The sequence below is a fragment of the Homo sapiens genome, chromosome 2, assembly GCF_000001405.40.
Source record: "Homo sapiens chromosome 2, GRCh38.p14 Primary Assembly".
NCBI lineage: Eukaryota > Metazoa > Chordata > Mammalia > Primates > Hominidae > Homo > Homo sapiens.
In genome coordinates this window covers 25,577,787-25,598,241 of record NC_000002.12, presented here as the reverse complement: position 1 = coordinate 25,598,241, position 20,455 = coordinate 25,577,787, and the positions used below count along the sequence as shown (strand labels likewise).

Here is a 20,455-nt window from a genome sequence, read left to right as displayed (position 1 = left end):
CCAGCTATCATAGCTGCACTCCAGGTAGAAGAAGGAGGAAGGGAATAAGGAACAAGTGGCCTGCTTTTTTGGCTCAGTTAGGTTTGTTTACCTAGTCTTCTGGAAGTCCCCTACAACCCTTCTGCTTACAAGCTCATTTTAGCTAGAAGTTAGTCACATGACCGCTACTTGCTGGGAACTTGCAACTTGTTAGTTGGTACATTACTGCACAAAATAAAATTAGTGTTCTGTTACTAAGGAAGAAGAGGATAATGTGGCTACTGGCAGCTCAGCATAGTTAACTGAAGTGGCGCCTAGCACATGGTGGGGCTTATCATGTATCTTTTTGCCTCTGTTTTTTCTGTTGTCAGCTCAAATTCTTCTCTGTTTCATGTGTATCTTATTTTTCCAGCTACATTGAAAGTTTCTTGGGGGATAAGGACCATTTGTCATCTTTCTCTGTTATGGTTCTAAACACCTAACAGAGCGCTTGCACTTGGACCACATAATAGGAACTTAATATGTATTTGTTAATTAATTTATTTTACTTTCTACTAGGGTCATCTTTTAGTCTCTTGCTGGATTTTTTCCCCCATATGGGTATTTAATACTTTTCCATCAACTGTAAACTAGCAGCTGTCATGAGAGGACACACTGAAGATTTTCATTCCTTTGGTAATTTCTTCTTTTCTAATGCCTTAAAAATTGCCCTGTGGATCAATAACCTAACATTTTATCTTTCTTTAATTAGTGTATTCAGAAATTTTTTTTGACCTGATGCTTCAGTATAAATTCCCCAAAATTGAATCCAAAAAGTAATGCATGTATGTATATTACATATGTCTGTTAAATAGGTATAGATCTCTACTATACCTCTTCACTGTGAATATATAGAATATGAATTTTCTTTTCTTTTTTTTTTTGGAGACAAGGTCTCACTCTGTCACCCAGGCTGGAGTGCAGTGGTGTGATCATGGCATCACGGCTCACTGTAGTCTTGACCTCCTGGGCTCAAGCAGTCCTCCCACCCCAGCCTCCCAAGTAGCTGGGAGTACAGGTGCACACCACTATGCCTGGCTAATTTTTAAATTTCTTTTGTAGGGATGAGGTCTCACTATGTTGCCCAGGCTGGATGAATCTTCAAAATGCTATGTTTGAAAAGTCCTCAGGAAATGATTTTTCTGTGCATATTTGACTTACTAATGTTTGTAAGGAAGTTCAACAGATTGAAAAACTGCCTACGTCACATTTCTTTGTTAAATTCTTTTGACTTCTGGTTTTCTTTTACTCCCCAACTGTGGATGAGAAGAGAGGAATGATTGGAGACAGGAACTCCCTGCAAGCAGATAAAGTTGGAGTAATATTACTGGAAGATTCTTTCTCATCTGCTTGACCTGACTTAATATAAAAATAGGGTCTTACAGTATCAAAGTGTCTTGGAATAGAAGACTTTAGATGAGTTACTTTTATTCTGCTTTGGAACTCATTAGATAAATATTTTAAATATGCTCTATGGCTCCTTCAGATGTGTTCTTTCACAGGCATGCATTACATCATCAGTATAGAATATACAAGTATAATACAATTTCTTTCATACCCTATCACCAAGATGCTAATGTATTTATATACTCAATCATGCATATGTCTTATATAAACACATGTGGAGATACTAAGAGATAAAGATATGCTGCTGCAAATTCTTCTTGGAACAAAGTGAGGTATAAATAAATAAAAGTTATATATCATCTAGTTTTAAACACTCAAAAGTAGGATAGTCACACATGAATGGTTATTTGATGTTTAAGTAGAATATTAAGTGAGTGGAAGAGAGGGGCCTCATCTGCAGGGTAGCCACACAGTGTTAATAAGGATGAGAATAGTTTTAATATTAACTAAAAGTCACAATAATTTTATGATACTTTTTTAATGATACTTTTTGTTTGGTATACAAATGACATAGAGCCATTTATAAAAAGCTGATATTTCCTTATAGCTTGACTTTATTTGGTTTTGTTCTCATAGATGTTTTCTCCCAGATGTCAGATTCCAATGGCTTAATGATATTTAGCAAGTTTGACCAGTTTCTGAAGGAAGTTCTGAAGCTCCCAACAGCTGTCTTTGAAGGGCCATCTTTTGGTTACACAGAGCACTCAGTCCGCACCTGTTTTCCACAGCAGGTAAGGACAGTTTTATAGAATCTAGGGCTAGAAGAGCGCTCTTCCCTCCCTTCACCTTCTAACAGATTTTGCCAGATTGCTTCCAGTCTAGTAAGGTCTTGAGTAGGGGAGGAAAAAAGCTTTAAAGGTGGTGGGGAGTGGATGAATAAAAGCGGGGGGTAAAAATTCACCTGAAAACTCTTACGGGGGAACTGGGGGTGGGGGGGTGGTGTCTTTGGAAAAAAATGAAATATTTTAAAGAAAAATGTTTAAGAACAAGTGTGTACATTTTTGCTACAGGACATATATTACTTTTTCAAATGAGTTCTTGAAACCATGAGATGAGGGAATTTTGATATAAAACTGTAACAATACTGCATTGTTTCCTGAGTGCTGGAGACAGGGAACGCTGTATAGCTCTCACTCGCCAGCATAAAATCCCTCAAGGGTACACTACCATTTTCATATTAGAAAAAGATGGATTTGATTTCCTTCTGGTGGTCTTGACAGAGAGGCTGGAATGAGTGTGTTTCTGAGATCTTAACCATGCTTCAGAGAACCGTCTACACCTAACAAATGGTTGCTACAGCCAGCGTCCATGCCTCAGCCACAGGATAGACACTGGCTGCAGCGTCCATTTGTTAACGTAGAGATTAGATAAAAGAAGCTTAATGTTAAACTTACCTAGAAAGTTCTGTAAAGGAATTAAAAAACGTTTTGCTAAAACTAATAGGTAAAAAATTAATGGAAACAGGATATTGACATATTCTAAAAGTATCTCCCCATAAGATATTTATTAATTACAAAAAGAACATAGTAAATTTACAATGGAGAAACTGATCAGATATCACTTTACCAAGTGATCAAAATCCCTATCACCACTAAAGGGATAAACTGATACCGCCTGCCTCCTGATAGGACGCATTGAGAAGTACTCAATATCACTTCTCCGGTAACTCCTGCCAAGAAAGCATAACCTGAATCTCATCCCAAGGAAACATCAGACAAACTCCAATGAAGGAATTTCTACAACCTAACTGAACTTTACACTTCAAAAGTGTCAATAATATGAAAGATTAAAAAAGATGAAATGTTCTAGGTTAAAAGAGTTTAAAGAGACATGAAAAGCTGAATGAACTCACAAGCCAGGATTTTCTGTTGCTATAACGGACGTTATTGGGACAATTGGAAAAATCTGAATAAAGTTTATAGACTGGATCATAGTATTATGTCAATGAATGTTAACTTCCTGATTTTGATATTTGTACGTAATTATTTAAGAGCATGTCCTGTTTTTTAAAACAATTGAACTATTTAAGGATAAAGGAGCATCCTTCTGCAGTGTTAACATTTGAGGAATCTTGGTTAAGGGAAAATGGGAATTTTTTGGTAATCTTAGAACCTTTTTGTAAGTCTGAAAATTATTTAAAGATAAAAAGGTAAACTATAAAAGGAACACATCTAAAAGTTTGAGAACTGAAAGGATGTTGTAAACTAGATTCTCCTGACCTGTGATACTCTGATTCAAAAACGAATGAAAAACACATGCACACATGGCCCCTCCCCACCTACATACTTCTTTACATTTAAAGTTAAGAATTCATGGTTATTTGAATTCAGACTTTCAAATAGTATTTAGTTTGTTTAGAGGTTATTCAGCTTTAGCACTGAAGGTGGTACCCATGATAATGGAGAATTATTTTTAGTAACATCTGAGGAGATATTCTTCCCAAATTTGTGCACACTTTGCCTGACTGGTTTTGTGCAGATTTGCCTCTATGCACTATTTATTTTTTCTTTCAGCATAAATGGCAATCAGCATCAGCTTTTAGCATATTAAAAATATCTCCATGCTTCGTTCTAATGAAACATAGTTCACATTTTCCCCCCCGAATATGCATTTTCAAATGATGTGAGGTTGTCTGAACATAATCCTGGTACAAGAGTGTCCTTCAGGTGTTAACGTGCCCTTCAGGGACGTAAGTGAAGATGAGTATGATGAAGTCACAGCTCTTCTGCATTTTTTATCTGGAGCCCGTCTCACTGCTGCTCCTGCTGCTGCCTTGGAGGTATCATCACCTTCCATGGTGGCCCACACAATACTCTGGGGTAATCTTGTGTATGGTGTATACATGGCTTTTCACACAAGATGCTTCCTGGAGGTCAGGCTAAAAATGGATCAAGTTCTGGAATGGTACTCTTAAGCAAAATGGTATTGGAATGGGGAAGGGAATTTGTACAAAGAACTCTCAGTGATGAACACTGAGAAATGGATGACAGTTATGTGGGGTATAAACCTAATCTTTAATTTAATTGCAACGTTAGTATTCCGATGAGAATCTGGTGTTGGAATAACAGTTTAAAATGTTGAAGAAATTTTTAAAAGTGCAGTTGTTAATTCTAAGAATGCTATCTAGGATTCTGCAAATTAACCTTATGACATACATAATTGTGAGGGCTTTGAACTCACAACCTGATCATTACTTTTTACCTGCTTCATTCATATTCCTGTAAAAAAAAATCAATCTGCATTTTTGTATATGTCAAATTTGGAAAAGAGAAGTTTATCTCAGTCCATGAAAATGTTAAAAAAGAAAAAACCCTCAGGGGAAATAGAAATCACTCATAGAATATACTGATATATTGACCAAGAAGTGAGACAGCTTGGACAAAGTTTCATGCTGCAAGAGTTAAATTCAATGAGTTTTGCGTTTCTTTTTGAAAATGGGCTTTTCTCATGGTTTGTTTTGCTTCAGTATGTGTTTCCTTAATGAGAATCAGCTCTTACGTCATCAGATAGAAAACAATGTTGATGCAAATTAGAAATTGCATTGTTTTTTCATATGCACTTTCCCCCAGCATTTTGATGTTCTGGGCTGAACAAAAAAGCGATCACAATTAAAGAGAAAGTATGACTATTTTAAGAAAGAAGCTGAAAATCCTGCAGTACCTTCCTTTAGGGAGAGAAGTGACTGGTTTCAAGGACCCATGAGCTGCTTCACTTTCTGCAGTGCTGTGATGATGAAGCTGCAGCTGAGTGAAGAGGCTGTGAAGACGTTTTGCCTCCTGTGCTCACATGATCGATGGACAGAATTAAGCTTTCCCCTGGATCCGATATCTAGTTTTGATGAAACCGATCTATTTTGGAAGTTGTATGCTCGTCTCATGAAGAAGGAAATCAGTGGCTCAGGATTGAAGGCTGAAAGACACCATCCGACAGTGATACCAGTGCATGCACCTGGAGGGATTTAGTTTGGCTGATTATTTCGTTTGTCCTCTATTTACAAAGCCATGTAGATTCTTAGTGGTTGTTCCAACTCTGTTTTCCTCATATACCTTATGATTTTTAAGTCCACAGTGTTGTACTCTGCGCACCTTTCCATTATAGCATTTTGATGTAAAGAAATTTCAGCTTCTTTCTTAATGTAACACATTACAGCAGAAATGCTTTTTTTTAATGATATGAAGAGAATTACACATTGGTTTATTTTAATATAGTTTTAATTCTTTTTTAAAACACATTTTTTTTTTTGCCTGGGAAACTAACCCAAAATAAGGTCTGTGGATTATGTAGTTTAGTTGTTTTTAAAACACAAGAGAAATTAGATGCGTTTATAAGTTAATTCAGCAGAACCCATCTATTAGGATAGCTAAAATTAAATACTGACTTCGAATACTGGTAAAGATATTTGGAGTATCCAGTACTCTTTACAAACTGCAAGAAGCCCTGGTGGTTTCTTAATAAAACTAATCTGACACCTCCTCATGACCTAGCAATTAAATTAAAACCTAATCCTAGGTTTTAAGACTTTTCAGGAGTGCTCTTATCAACTATATTCATACTAGCCCCAAACCAGAAGCATCCTGGATGTCCATTATTAAAAAAAATTGGGGAAAAGCTAATTTAAGAGATGGTATGTCTGGAGTTTGCCCCAAAATAATGAAGGCTGGAGGGAAAGCGAAAGCAAAAATGAAACCAAATTAGTCATATGTTAAGAACTGTTGAAGCTGGGTAGGCATATTTTTTTTTTTTTTTTTTTTTTTTTGAGATGGAGTCTCACTCTATCACCCAGGCTGGAGTACATTGGTGCAATCTTGGCTCACTGCAACCTCTGCCTCCCCGGTTCAAGCGATTCTCCTGCCTCAGCCTCCCAAGTAGCTGGGATTACAGGTGCCTGCCACCATGCCTGGCTAATTTTTGTATTTGTAGTAGAGATGGGGTTTCACCATGTTGGCCAGGCTGATCTCGACCTCCTGATCTCAGGTGATCCTCCTGCCTCAGCCACCCAAAGTGCTGGGATTACAGGTGTGAGCCAGTGCACCTGGCCGGGATGGGCATATTATACTATTCTCTCTACTTTGATATATTTTTAAGAATTTTAATAATAGAAAAATTGTCCTTGCAAATTTGTGATTGTGATTATTGTCTGAACATAGTAGAGTATTGTTATAGCACCCCAAGACTAATACTTTGGTGAGTAGCCCAGATATATTAACATTCTTCAGAGTTTACAAACTAACTGACTTTCGACGCTTAAAAGTTGTTTAAAATAAGTAGTAAATGTATTTAAATTTCTCCCCAAATTTTCCAAACTTTAGAGTTTTGGAAAATGCAATATTTCTCCTTAGAAAGGAGATGCTATTTGTTATTTATTAGGTCTTCATATTAATGGCATCTGTGTCCCATCTAGAACAGCCACTGCCACGATGCTGGCTGCACTGGGGGAGGCGTGGCTGGGGCTGCATGCTCCATAGAGCTGGTGGGAGCCAGGAACAGGCAGAAGCTCCACCCTATTCTCAGTTGACAGGGTGGGAGCTTCGCCTTCCCTGGGCGCAGCTGCAGCCGGTCAAGCCATGGCTGCAGACCAGGCATCTCTGCACTGTCAGGGGCCTGGGAAGGCTGCCCTTGCCCCTGCAGGCTTGGAGGTGTCTGCTCCCGCTGCCTGGCATCTCCCTGCTCCCGCTGCCTGGCGTCTCCCTGCTCCCAACACCTGCTCCAGTGTCAGAGCGAGGCTGAGGCCGAGCTCGGGCACTGTTGCAGCCTGGCCAGGTGTGCACACGCTCGGGGCAGCACTGACATGCCAGCCCCCTGCCACCTCAGCACCCCCGGACTTTGGGCACTGATGAGCATGGGAGGAAGGCCACGGGCCTGAGGGCAGCTTGGCACTGGCCTGCAGGTGCCCCTTGGCACGAACACCTGGGTGCCATGAACAGCAGTAGGAGGCAGACAGGCCCCTGGGTGGAAGGGCGTGGGTCCCCGGTGAAGCCCCACCTTCAAGACAGGGAGGGCCTGAAGCCTGGGGGTCGGGCTGCTAGTCCCATGGACTGGAGTGGGAACTTGTGGTGCTTTTTCCAAGCCTACCCATGGCCACCCATGAACCTGTCAGCATGCGCTTCCTCCCCTTTAAGACCCACAAAAGCCCTAAACTCAGCCAAACTCGAACAAATGATTACCAGCTGTGGAGAGGAGCTACCCACCCCAGAGTCTCCTGTCTGCTAAGAGCTGAAGAGATGATGGGACAACCAGCTGCAGAGAGGAGCTACCCTGCCAGGGTCTTCTCTCTGCTGAGAGCTGAAGAGACATCAGGACGATCAGCTGCAGAGAGAAGCTACCCACTCCAGAGTCTCCTCTATGCTGAGAGCTGAACACTTGTCAGGACACCCTGGCTGTGGAGAGGAGCTACCCATTGCGAGTCTCCTCCGAACTGTTCTATTGCTCAATAAAGTTCCTCTTTGCCTTGCTTACCCTCCACTTTTCCACATACCTCAGTCTTCCTGGGTACGGGACAGGAACTCGGGACCCAAAAAATGGCAAGTCTAAAAGAGCTATAACGTAAACAGGGCTGAAATATGCCCCTTGCTTGCCATGTTGTGGGCAACAAGAAGAAGAAAGAAGGAGAAAAGAGCTGTACCCCTCTGGGGAGCCCAGATGTAGGAGCTCCCCAGGCCGGGGCTGTAATACCCTCCTTGGGGCTCTGTGGTTCCTGGCATCTCCAAGCTTCTGGGTGCCACCGTGTTTGCTGGTGCCAGCTGTGGAAGCAGCTTGCAGTATGCCTGGTCCAGTGCAACCTCACAGAGAGCCAGGGCCCGTGCTGGTGCCTGGAGCTGCCTGCCCCACTGCAGCTGGCATGCCTGGCTGTGCATAGTGGCCGGACCCCACACTCCTTCACACTCGCTTCACTGCTCTGCACATGGCTCGCCCTTGGTAGGCATGGGATCCAGGCTGGTAGCGTGAGCCGAGTGCAGCCTGCCAGGCCGAGTGGGTGGAACGAGTCCAGTGGGCCCAAGCAAAACTCCGGCAAAGGTGCCACTGGCCACAAAGGAAAAGCATCACCCCAGGAATCCTGTAACAATATTGACTTTAGTTCGAAGAGTTCAACCCACCTTGCACGGAATTTTTAATTTGATGCCTATCTTTATGAAAAGGAAACCTGAGGCTGGGCATGGTGGCTCACGCCTGTAATCCCAGCAGGCCGAGGTGGGTGGATCACCTGAGGTCAGGAGTTCAAGACAGCCTGGCCGACGTGGTGAAACCTCGTCTCTACTAAAAATACAAAAATTAGCCAGGCGTGGTGGCGGGCGCCTGTAGTCCCAGCTACTCAGGAGGCTGAGATAGGAGAATTGCTTGAACCCAGGAGGCAGAGGTTGCAGTGAGCCGAGATGGCACCACAGCACTCCAGCCTGGGCGACAGAGTGAGACTCCATCTCAAAAAAAAAAAAAAAAAAAAAAAAAAAAAAAGAAAAGAAAAAGAAACCTGAATAAGCAAAGAATGGAGAGAAAGGGAGAAGTGAGCAGATAGGAAAGTAGACACACTCTTACAATCAGTGTATGCAGGAGATACTGTTGATAACACTTTATTGGGCACCATGCCACATTTCCCTTGATTCACGGAGGCAGTGGCAATTGTATAAAAATGGGATTATACTATTGCTGGTTAATTTTAAGAATAACAACAATATTTCATGCCTGGAGGTGTCCTCCGATTGCATTTGACAAAATATTCTCTCCAGCTATGTAGCGAAATGATTTTTCTCCTCACTTTGAAGTGAGATGTCTTTTGGATGTTCTGACTTTGTTTTCCTGGACATTGAATAGAGTTTGGCAAGCATTGCCTGGCAGGTGTATCTATATTTGTTATTTCATAGGTATTCTAATTAAGGAGATTTTATAATCTCCGTTAGCAACCCTTTGCTACTGTGTACTTTGGTGTGGATTAGTAGTGTTTCATTGATTTGAAGACACTTTTTCATATCTTAATATTTCTGATGTTGAGATATATAGCCAATGATACCTCACAATTGCAGTTGGTTAGGCAGTGGTTATGATGGGCTGTCATTTCCTGCACATGTGTGAACTTGATCATAGCTGATCATTTGTTGTCACTTCAACTGAGTTGTATCCACTTTTGGCACTACATGTGTTGTCATTTAAAATGTCCTCAGAGGCCAGGCACAGTGGCTCACGCCTGTACTCCCAGCACTTTGGGAGGCCGAAGCAGGTGGATTATGGAGTCAAGAGATCGAGACTATCCTGGCCAACATGGTGAAACCCCGTCACTACTAAAAATACAAAAATTAGCTGCGCGTGGTGCGTGCGCCTGTAGTCCCAGCTACTTGGGAGGCTGAGGCCAGAGAATCGCTTGAACCTGGGAGTCAGAGGTTGCAGTGAGCCGAGATCATGCCACTGCACTCCAGCCTGGCAATAGAGGGAGACTCCGTCTCAAAAAAAAAAAAAAAGTTCTCGGAAGAGAGTATACTGTGATTTGGCATTAAAGACAATGTTGTTATAAATGCAGAAAGGTGTGGACAGAATAGAGGGGAATACACTGGATGTTAGTAAAACAAATATTCAGCATTGGAGGAATTCCATATTATTTTGCAAAGCAACAACCAGGTGCTTTTTAGAGCCTTTTTTTTTTTAAGGAGGCTTTATAGAGCCTTTTTAAAAAAGAGGATATCCCCAAATAGATGAAGCTGTATTTTTTTATTACTGAGATATAACCAAAATAATTTATTGTCACACTAAAGCATTGCATCTGAAGGTAGACCAAACTGCCAAGTTCCCCTGAATAGATGAAAGGAATTTCAGTTCATCAAGAGGCTGGTGTGACCAATTCACATGTCACGAAGGATTATGCTTAATTAAGTCATTGAGTTAGTTAAATTGGCTGAGTGCTTTTCTTTCTTAGGGGTAGAAAAAAAAATAATGGTGTGTCTTACAAGTGATCTTATAAGTGCATCTTAGATGGGATGAAATGCAGGGTGTAGAATGGGTTTTATTATGATCAGGTCTCTATAGTAATGAGGCCTGTCTCACTAGCATACTTAGATTGAACAAAATTGTAGAGACCTAGAAGTGAGATTTTATTCTAGTTGGGCCTGTGAAGGAGAGAGTGTCTTACTAAATGAATCCTTACATAGAAATGACAAGTGGCTTCAAGATTGTTTTCTTTTTAGAAAAGGATTTTTGTTAGCAGTACTTGCTGTCCACATGCTCTAGGAAAGCACCCCTTCCCCCCGCTTCCCCACTGATGATTCATGAGCTGAAAGAAGTTCCCCAGCCTGTGGGGTGTGGGGCTGTCGGTCCAGGTCATTCTTGGTGTTCATTGGTGGCACAGTCCAGTGTGCAGTCCCATTCTGGACTTCCAGTGTCCCCTCTGCCTTACTGCTTTATGTATGACTAACTAGTATTCAAGTAAAGCAGAAAAATTCATCACCCAAAAAACGAAGGACCCTGGTCTTCTCGTCACTTTATTCAGTGGCTCAATGGCAGCCTAAGGAAGAGGAGTGTGCTTTCTCAGATGTTGGTTTTATTATTCCTTTTAATCATAAGCAAATTTGAGTTTAAATCATCATTTTGCAATACAGTTCTGTTGATGTCCTTATTTTTCATAAAAAACTCGACTCACTCCTCATTGCCTGCTGGATAAGCTGCTTAGCATGACGTTGTGGCTCTCAGCAGTCGAACCACAGTCTACCTTTTCACCGCCATTCCTGATTGCTCCCGCTCTACCCCATCCCTCTCCTGTTCCTACCCTTAGCATACCATGGGATCTTTTTAGCTGTTGCCACAGGGCCATGGGGTTGCACTGTTTACATCCCCCTCAGTGTTGTGCGAGAGCATCTGTGTCTCCACAGCCTTGCCAGCAGCACATGTTCCCACACTTGAATTTTTGCCAATCTGATGGGTGAGAAATGTTATCTCAGTGTAGTTTTGATTTGCATTTCTCTTGTTTTGAGTAACCTGTTTTGAGTGAGTCAAAGCAGTCAAACTTTTTGTCTTTGTTTATATTCTTAGTTCTCACTGAAATGCCAGTAACCCCTGACTTTCTGTCTCTCCTCCAAAAAAGGCTTCAGATTCCACATCCTAGCAAAAATATGCCTTCTTCTTTGATGTTTTTAATCTTTCATCTTAGGATTGTGTCCTCTTCTCTACTTCCATGACATGTTACCTACAGCTCAGTTATGCCCTGAAGGGAGGGACCTTGCTCTCCTTCAGCTTTCCATCCCCAGTGACTGACAGTGTCTGGAAAACGATCGATACTATTTCCTGGATTAATTGAATGATTTTTTAAACTTTTTTTTTTTTTTTTTTTGGAGACAGAGTCATGCTCTGTCGCCCAGGCTGGAGTGCAGTGGCGCAATCTCGACTCACTGCAACCTCCACCTCCTGAGTTCAAGCAATTCTCCTGCCTCAGCCTCCCGAGTAGCTGGGATTACAGGTGCCCACCACCGCACCTGGCGAATTTTTGTATTTTTAGTGAGATGGGGTTTCACCATGTTGGCCAAGCTGGTTTCAAACTCCTGACCTCAAGTGATCCGCCTGCCTCAGCCTCCCAAAGTGTTGGGATTATAGGTGTGAGCCACCGCACCTGGCCGCCCGTGCTTAATGAAGCATTTTAAGTTAAGTATGACATGAGAAAATTAGTAATTTTGGTTTGAATTCTAATGAAAGCTTAAACTTCATAATGTATTTGCATCCTCGTTTTCACTGATATTATTCCATGATTTTTTCAAAGGAAATAATCTTTGCAATGAGAGAAATATAGTATTTCAGAATATTTGAAGTTTTTCTAATCTTTCCTTTATCCATAACAAATAAAAATATCTCTAAGAAAAAGCAGAGTAACATTATATTATTTTGTCATTATAAATTACTCTTATTTTCAAAGTCCAAAATAAATCTGTGATGTGGGGAAATTCAGTGTGAAAATAATTGAAAGACTGCCCCTTTCAGTTACAACAACTCTGTAACTCTGATTAATGTATGTTTGCCCTTGTCAGATAAAATATCTCTGTAACTATACTCAGAAGTTTGCATAAAAATGTTTTAACCTGAAAACTTTAGAAGTGTCCCTTTCAAGACAGTTAACTAAATGTCATACATCATTTAAATGATAAGGCAATGGGTAAATATTTCTATGTTGCACATTATAGGAGTTTTTGTTGGAAATGATGAAGTTGGAGACTGTAGCAATGATGATCTATAGCTAAATTATTTTATTTTCTCATGTTATTTTATTGATACTGGATTTTTCATTTTTAAGGGGTTACTCCTCTCCCCTTTTAAAAATGGGAAGAGGTAGTCAAGGGTGGAGGAAGGGAAGTGAGAATGGCATGTAGGGTAATAGTTGTCAGTCTAGATTAGAATAACAAAGAGCAACAAACAAACGCTTGTTTCTAAGAAAAAATATGAGACTGCATACAGTGATAAAAGCAGTCTCAGTGTTTTATAGAGGGAGGCATAAATCATGGTGGTTTCGCTCAGTGGATCAGGCAGCTGTTAAAAGGATTAGAAATGAAGAATTTGTACAAAACAAGATGTTTAATAGAACGTTAAGTGAAAAAACAGATGATGTATTCATATCTATTCTGTTCACAAGTATGTAGAAATATATATACATCTGGAGGGAAATAGAGAAAAATGAGAATTGTGGGAATGCATGATTTGCATTTTATTATAGTTCATATTAATATTAAGCTCTTAAAAATAAGGAGAAATGCAAAGAATGTGTTCAACTCAAGAGCAAAAACAAAATAAAAAGATAGGGGACAAAAAGAGCCAACCTGCCTTTCATAAAATTATTTATTGAGTCATGGAATTTTAGAGATGGGAAGCCTCTCCTAACAGGTCTCAAAATTTTTGGTCTCAGGACTTCATTATACTGTAAAAATTATTGAGGACCCCAAAGAGCTTTTATTTATATGGGTTAAGTCTGTCAGTATTTCCATATTAGAAGTTAAAATTGAGGCTGGGCATGGTGGCTCACGCCTGTAATCCCATCACTCTGGGAGGCCGAGGCAGGTGGATCACGTGAGGTCAGGAGTTCAACACCAGCCTGGCCAACATGGTGAAACCCCGTCTCTACTAAAAATACAAAAATTAGCTGGCCATGGTGGCACACGCCTGTAGTCCCAGATACTTAGGAGGCTGAGGCAGGACAATTGCTTGAACCTGGGAGGTGGAGGTTGCAGTGAGTCAAAATCGAGCCACTGCACTCCAGGCTGGGCAAAAGAGTGAGACTCTGTCTCAAAAAAAAAAAAGTAAAATTGAGAAATAAAAGAAAACTAAGTCACTTAAAAATAATGATGAACCTATTATATGTTAACATAAATAACATTTTTATGACAAATAACTATTTCAAAACAAAAATTTAATGAGAAGAGTGCCATGGTTTTGTATTTTTGCTTATCTTTAATATTTGCCTCTATAGAAGACACATGGATTCCCATGTTTGCTTATCCATTCAATCTGTTGTGATATGCTCTTTTGGTTAAAATTTGGAAGAAAATTTGGCCCCGGACAGCTATATAGTTGGGAAAGGGAGAGTCTTTTAGTAGCCTTTTTAGATAATTGTGGCTTCGTCACATTGTCTCTGGAAAACCCCACTGTACACTCTTCAGAGAATTAGATTGAAAAAGACCAATAATGTCTTAGTATTATTATGAAATATTCCAAAGCTCCGTGAAACTCCATGAAAATGTTTAAATACCTTCCAGGGGTTCCCTGATGACACTGAGAACTGCTATTTTAGCCCTTGAAAGATGAGAAAACTGAAACTCAGAGATGTTCAGTGATTTTCTCCAGATCACGTGGTTGGTGGAAGACAGAGTGCTTGGACATGGCTCTGCTAGTTTCATTCCTCATGTTTTTGGAAAACGTCATATATGGTGTGACTTTAGGACAATTTTTGGAGATTGATCCTAAGTTTATTTATGAGGGTCTTCAGAGATATCAAAATCTAATTCTACCTTGTCATCTTGAAGATTAAAAAAAAAAAACTCCATGATTGGGTGCAGTGGTTCACGCCTGTAATCCCAGCACTTTGGGAGGCTGAGGTGGGTGGATCATGAGGTTAGGAGATCGAGACCATCCTGGCCAACATGGTGAAATCCCATCTTACTAAAAATACAAAAATTAGCTGGGCGTGGTGGCGCATGCCTGTAATCCCAGCTACTCGGGAGGCTGAGGCAGAAGAATTGCTTGAACCAGGGAGTCGGAGGTTGCAGTGAGCCAAGGTTGCGCCACTGCACTGCACTCCAGCCTGGCAACAGAGCGAGACTCTGTCTCAAAAAACAACAACAACAAAAAAAAAACACAAAAACTCCATGGTAGGCAAATCAAAACTTTTTAGAGAAAGTAGTATTAGAATTATAAGTGGATTATAAAAATGTAATTTTTAACACAAGCTATAGAAATATTAAACTTTTAATTTATGACAAAGGATATGATACATTTAATTTTGTTCGCTACTTTTTACTAGCTAAAAATTTTCTAGCATCTTCTATCAGTAATTTTATTTTATATACATGTGTATGTGTGTGTATATATATATATATATATTTTTTTTTTTTTTTTTGAGACGGAATCTCACTGCATCACTCAGGCTGGAGTGCAGTGGTGATATCTTGGCTCACTGCAACCTTTGCTTCCTGGGTTCAAGCCATTATCCTGTCTCAGCCTCCCAAGTAGCTGGGATTACAGGCACCCGCCACCACACCCAGATCATTTTTGTATTTTTAGTAGAGATGGGGTTTCACTATGTTGGCCAGGCTGGTCTCAAACCATCTGCCCGCCTTGGCCTCCCAAAGTGCTGGGATTACAGGTGTGAGTTGCCACGCCCAGCCAATCTCAATAATTTTGAATAGACACTTTTGACTTTATCTTGGTTTGTTGGTTATTTGCATGTCCATAGAGGCATTTTCCATATCTGTTCCTGCATTCAAATATTAGGTGGCTTTATGGTTTTTAATGTTATTCACTGGTTCCTCCCAGATCCCACCAAGGTCTCAAACAATAGTATTCTTGGATCCTGAGATGGAAAACACTTAGGGTAACCTTTATTTAGCCTATTTGGGTAGGTACTTCTCATGCTTCACCATCAGTGCTCATGATGTGTAGAGGCCCTTTGAATGACAGCTCCATACCGCCAATCATTCTGTCAGCCCTTTTGCGTAGTTCTCAGCTCCTCCCGCCCCCCAGTAGTTCCATATTAGAAGTTAAATTGAGGAACTGTCCAATTACTTAACTACTTCCTGCCGGCCTGCAGGCTTTCTGGAGATGAGATTGTCCCTCAGCTTTCTTCATCTTTTCCAGATTTTTATTGCACAGCTTCTTTCCTGCTGTGCCTTCTACTCTACCTCCCTTTTCTATTCCCCATTAAGCAGTTTCTTATTTTAAATATTATTCTCAATAAGATGACCTCCAATTTACGTATACTGGAATCAAGATTCTCCCAGTCGCTAGAAAGATGCAGAGGAATAAGTCTGTCTAGTCTTGAGCCTTATGAGACAGGAACTCTTGTTGGGAGGTTCCGGTGGTTGGTCTGATGGCATCCCTGGGGGCCTCCGTCCTTCAGGCCAAGCATCACAGTGTCTTCACTCCTCGCTTCCGGTTTGTGTTAAATATATATATTTTTAGTGGTAAAAATCAGAGTTATTTTGTAATCAGCCAGCAATATCTTTAGGTCAGCCCTAACCAATTTTATCTTTTCTACCTTTTTTCCCCCCTTGAAATAAATGATTTAAACATTTTATGGGGAAACACCTATATTTTTTATATCCTGTTCTTCACATTAAGAAAGTGGTGGGACTGAGAACAGTTACTTGGGAGAGACCAAGGTGAAATTCTGGGTGTGCTTTTGGCTTCGCCCCAGCCACCACCCTGCCTCTGAATGGTGGGATCAGGACATGGAGGAGGCAGCCGACGGCCATGCACCTCCTGAGTGTGTGCCCTGTTGTCTGGGCTCTTCTTTTGGAACAATTTGAAGTGAGATTTTCATGTCCAGGTTACAATCACGGAACTATCTTGTTGAGTTGTGTGACCTGGACTTTCAGCTCCTTTTTCCTTTTCTTTGGAGCTGGAAAGGTGTCATGTGGGCTGGAGAAAATAAAAAGAAAGTTCATTAATTTGAAATATTGTGGAGAATTTGTTCTCTCTATATCATATAACTCTATTTCTATCTTATCTTTCTAGACTGCTTTCTAATTTGGTGTCTAAGTGGGACATACTCTTTCAGTGTTTCATATACAGTGGAAGCTTACTATATATTTGTTAAAAAGAGAAATAAAGATAGAACAGAAAAATGCAGTCTAGCTAGGGAGATGGTATAACAGGAGCATTGTGATGGGCATTTGGACATGTAGGTTCCAATCTCATCCTTATCGTAACTATCTCTATGATGTTGTCAAATTATTTAAACTACTTTAAGCTTCTGTTTTCTCTTCTGTCAATGAGAAAGTTGTTAAATGATGTCTAGGTGTTTGCCCTTTAAATTATTATTATTATCTTTTCAATAGTTACTTAAGTGCATCTTGTGTGCCAGGCACTGTTAGGAGAGCTGGAAATATGGTAGACAACCAGCCACAGTCCCTGCTCTTATACTTGGGTGTGGGGTGTCTTCTCTTCCCCACTGGAAAGCGGAAATGGTGACTTGAAGGACAGTCTTGGGTTTGTGTCTGATTTGGGCCAGGCCACTACAAAACTTTTAAATGGTTTATTTGCTTATCTGTAAAGTGAATATAGTAATGTCTAACCTAGTTTACCTTATACAGTTGACTAAAATAAAATAATGTATATGGGAATACATTTGAATATACTAATAGTAGTAGTGTAAAGTACAGCATGTAGTAGTGTCTGTAGTAATGTAAAATATTTTATTTTGCTATAAAATTTACCGTGTAATTCACTAAAGTTTGGATGGGAAAAATCCTAAATTAAACTTGGAGTTTGGAGATTCCTAAAAAACTTAAAGTATGTTTGTTTTTCTTCTCTTTACAGAGAAAGATAATGCTAAATATGTTTTTAGACACAATGATGGCTGACCCTCCTCCCCAGTGCCTTGTCTGGCTACCTCTCATGCACAGGCTTGCCCATGTTGAGAATGGTAAGCAGAACTTTTATTGTTCAATTCCGCATGCTATAGAAAGTATAGGAACTGATTATTTGCAATGTCCTTAGCTATTAATATCATTGAAAATTACAGTTGACATTTGCTGTCATTCTGTCATTTCATTTTGTGGTTTTGGCTTTCAGAAGAATTTTTTTTTAAAAAAGGGAGGGTACTTATTACTTTTTTTTTTTTTTGAGACAGAGTCTCACTCTGTTGCCCAGGCTGGAGTGCTGTGGTGCAATCCTGGCTCACTGCAACCTCTACCTTCCGAGTTCAAGCAATTCTGTCACCTCAGCCTCCCGAGTAGCTGGGATTACAGGTGCCGGCCACCACACCTGGTTAATTTTTATCTTTTTAGTAGAGATGGGGTTTCACTATGCTGGCCAGGCTGATCTCGCAGAGACTTATTACTTTAAAAAGGATACCAAGAAGTAGGCTGGGCATGGTGGCTCACACCTGTAATTCCAGCACTTTGGGAGGCCGAAGCGGGTGGATCACTTGTGATCAGGAGTTCCAGCCAGCCTGGCAAACATGGCAAAACCCTGTTTCTACTAAAAATACAAAAATTAGCTGGGCGTGGTTGTGGGTGCCTGCAATCCCAGCTACTTGGGAGGCTGAGGCAGGAGAATTGCTTGAACCTGGGAGGTGGAGGCTGCAATGAGTTGAGATCGCACCACTGCATCCAGCCTGGGTGACAGAGTGAGACTCTGTCTCAAAAAAAAAAAAAAAAAAAAAAAAGAAAGGATACTATAGTAGTCATATCAGATCATACAACTTCAGCTATAGGCTTTTCCTCCCTAAGATTCCAGATGATTGTTTCTTGTTTGAGCCCAACTGATTTTTAGCCATGACTTCCTGCTTCCTCTTTGATTTATCAAACTCATATCTCTAAAAAACTGTATATATGCTATATCAACTGCTAAAACTATAATTATTTTGGAATGATTTAAAGAAAAATAGCCAAGATATAATTTAACAGTGGGTTCCCTTTTTTTTTCCTCATTTTTTTTCCTTCACCATTTTGCCTTGAAACTATTCTTGGTGTCCCTCCCAGTAATTTGACATAAATCTTTGTTTTGCTTTGAGTTAAAATGGTACTTATCTCTTAGTGACTTCTTAATTTTTCCTGTTCTTGCCATCAGTTTATCTCCTCCTTTAGGTTGTTGGAGTTTGTTAAGGGGAAGGCCATTGTGTTTCTAGTAACCTTCCCTCTCTCCAGGCTCTTGCCTTTCTTCATTCCTCAAAAGAGAACGAGGAAGAGCCAAGAGTCCACTTTTATCCCCCCGGAAGAATAAAATAAACATCCATACTGTTTTTATTTTCTCGCTTTCCTATCCATACTTCAGAATAAAATTTTCTCAGCCTTTTACCCAACTATGGCTTTAGTTCACAAGTACCTCAGATTAAGGATTCATTTCTTAAAGGACCAGAATCTCTCTAGACTAAAACAGCAAAATTTTTAAAACAGGATTCTTGGATAGATTTAAATTTTGGAGAGCAATGCTTTTATAGCCTTAAGTGTTTTAGTAGTTTTATGTCCAATTGATTTTCATAAGATCATTTTGTATTTGCTATACCAAGTAGAAAGAGCCTCACTTGTCAAGATGTATTATTATCCATATGCATATCAACATTTTTTTGTGACTTTTATAAAGTGTATAATTTATTGATTACATTCTTAATGTATATGGTTTGTAATATTTTTATCAGAGACAGAAATGTTATAAAATCATTAAAATATCTAGAAATAAAATATGTTACCTATCACACTAATATTTTTCTGTATGTCTTAATTTTAATGGTGAGAAACAAATTATAAAATTATGGTATTTATGGTTTTTTTTTGGTTTGGGCTCTATGAAGTTCATCATGAATTATATTGACATTACTATGCATAAGGAGAAATATTCACTTAAGCAAAAGTTGCACTTTTTAAATTGATTTACTAATCCAAGTGTAGGTATATAACAAGGTAACTAAGTGATGCACTTTACCAAAATAATACTTATACCAGAACCTGAACAGTCCTTCTCTTTCTTATTTATAATTGACCCAACACACTTGTTAATTTTTTCATCATTCTGGTTCTCTGCTTTTCCACCTGTCACCCATTCCACTGACTAAGGATTGGCTCTTGAGTGGTTTGGAAGAGAAGGTAGGAGAATCACATAGACATATATGTTCAACCAAAATTATCAGAATGTATTTGGTAATTTAATACTAACATACATATATCTTTTAATATTAACCTAAATTACTTAGAATTATAAATATTGGCTGCACAGATGTTGACCTCATTGACATTTGCTGAGATTGAGGGAGTCCTGTTCTCTGGAGGAACTATACTAGGTTGTATAGTTAATTTGGAGCACATGCTCTTAATTAGCATTTCCAGCATTCCATAGAAATACCTTGATGGCAAAAAACTGAATTTCTTAGAAGTAATATCCTTTGGATTTCTCATTACTGAGTTTAGTTTTCTTTTAGTCCCTAGTGATCATGCTATATAATCTTGTTATATTGTTTTTATCACCTCATACTCAATTTTTTTTGAGTCTTGATTCACTAGTTAATATATATTTTTGGAAGCAAGTCTAGAAGTCCCTATAATTGAAGTAAGATTGTGGTCTTATATATATAATGCTAGAAAGAGTTGTTCAATGAAGATTTGAATATTCTATCCCTCTTTTCGTTTTCTTTTTCTGTTTGTTTTTGAGATGGAGTTTCACCCTTGTTGCCCAGGCTGGAGTGCAATGGTGCGATCTTGGCTCACTGCAACCTCCGCCTCCCAGGTTCAAGCGATTCTCCAGCCTCAGCCTCCCAAGTAGCTGGGATTACAGGCATGCGCCACCACGCTCAGCTAATTTTATATTTTTAGTAGAGACGGGGTTTCTCCATGTTGGTCAGGCTGGTCTCGAACTCCTGACC

General features: G+C 39.8%; 1 protein-coding gene across 31 annotated transcripts in view; it reads left to right on the top strand.

Moving 5' to 3' along the window:
* DTNB (dystrobrevin beta) overlaps window positions 1-20,455 on the top strand; it is a 296,335-nt gene that overhangs the window by 75,336 nt on the left and 200,544 nt on the right. For 29 of the 31 annotated variants that reach the window (NR_147180.2, NM_001351393.2, NM_001351392.2 and 26 more), the window contains 2 exons: window positions 2,002-2,156; window positions 17,416-17,521. Coding sequence is in view for 29 of the 31 variants with exons in the window: in NM_001351393.2 (NP_001338322.1) it covers window positions 2,002-2,156; window positions 17,416-17,521 (261 nt within the window). In the remaining 2 variants the exon portion in view is untranslated. The remainder of the gene's footprint in view (window positions 1-2,001; window positions 2,157-17,415; window positions 17,522-20,455) is intronic. The other 2 variants (NM_001320935.2, NM_001320932.2) reach the window with 1 other exon arrangement.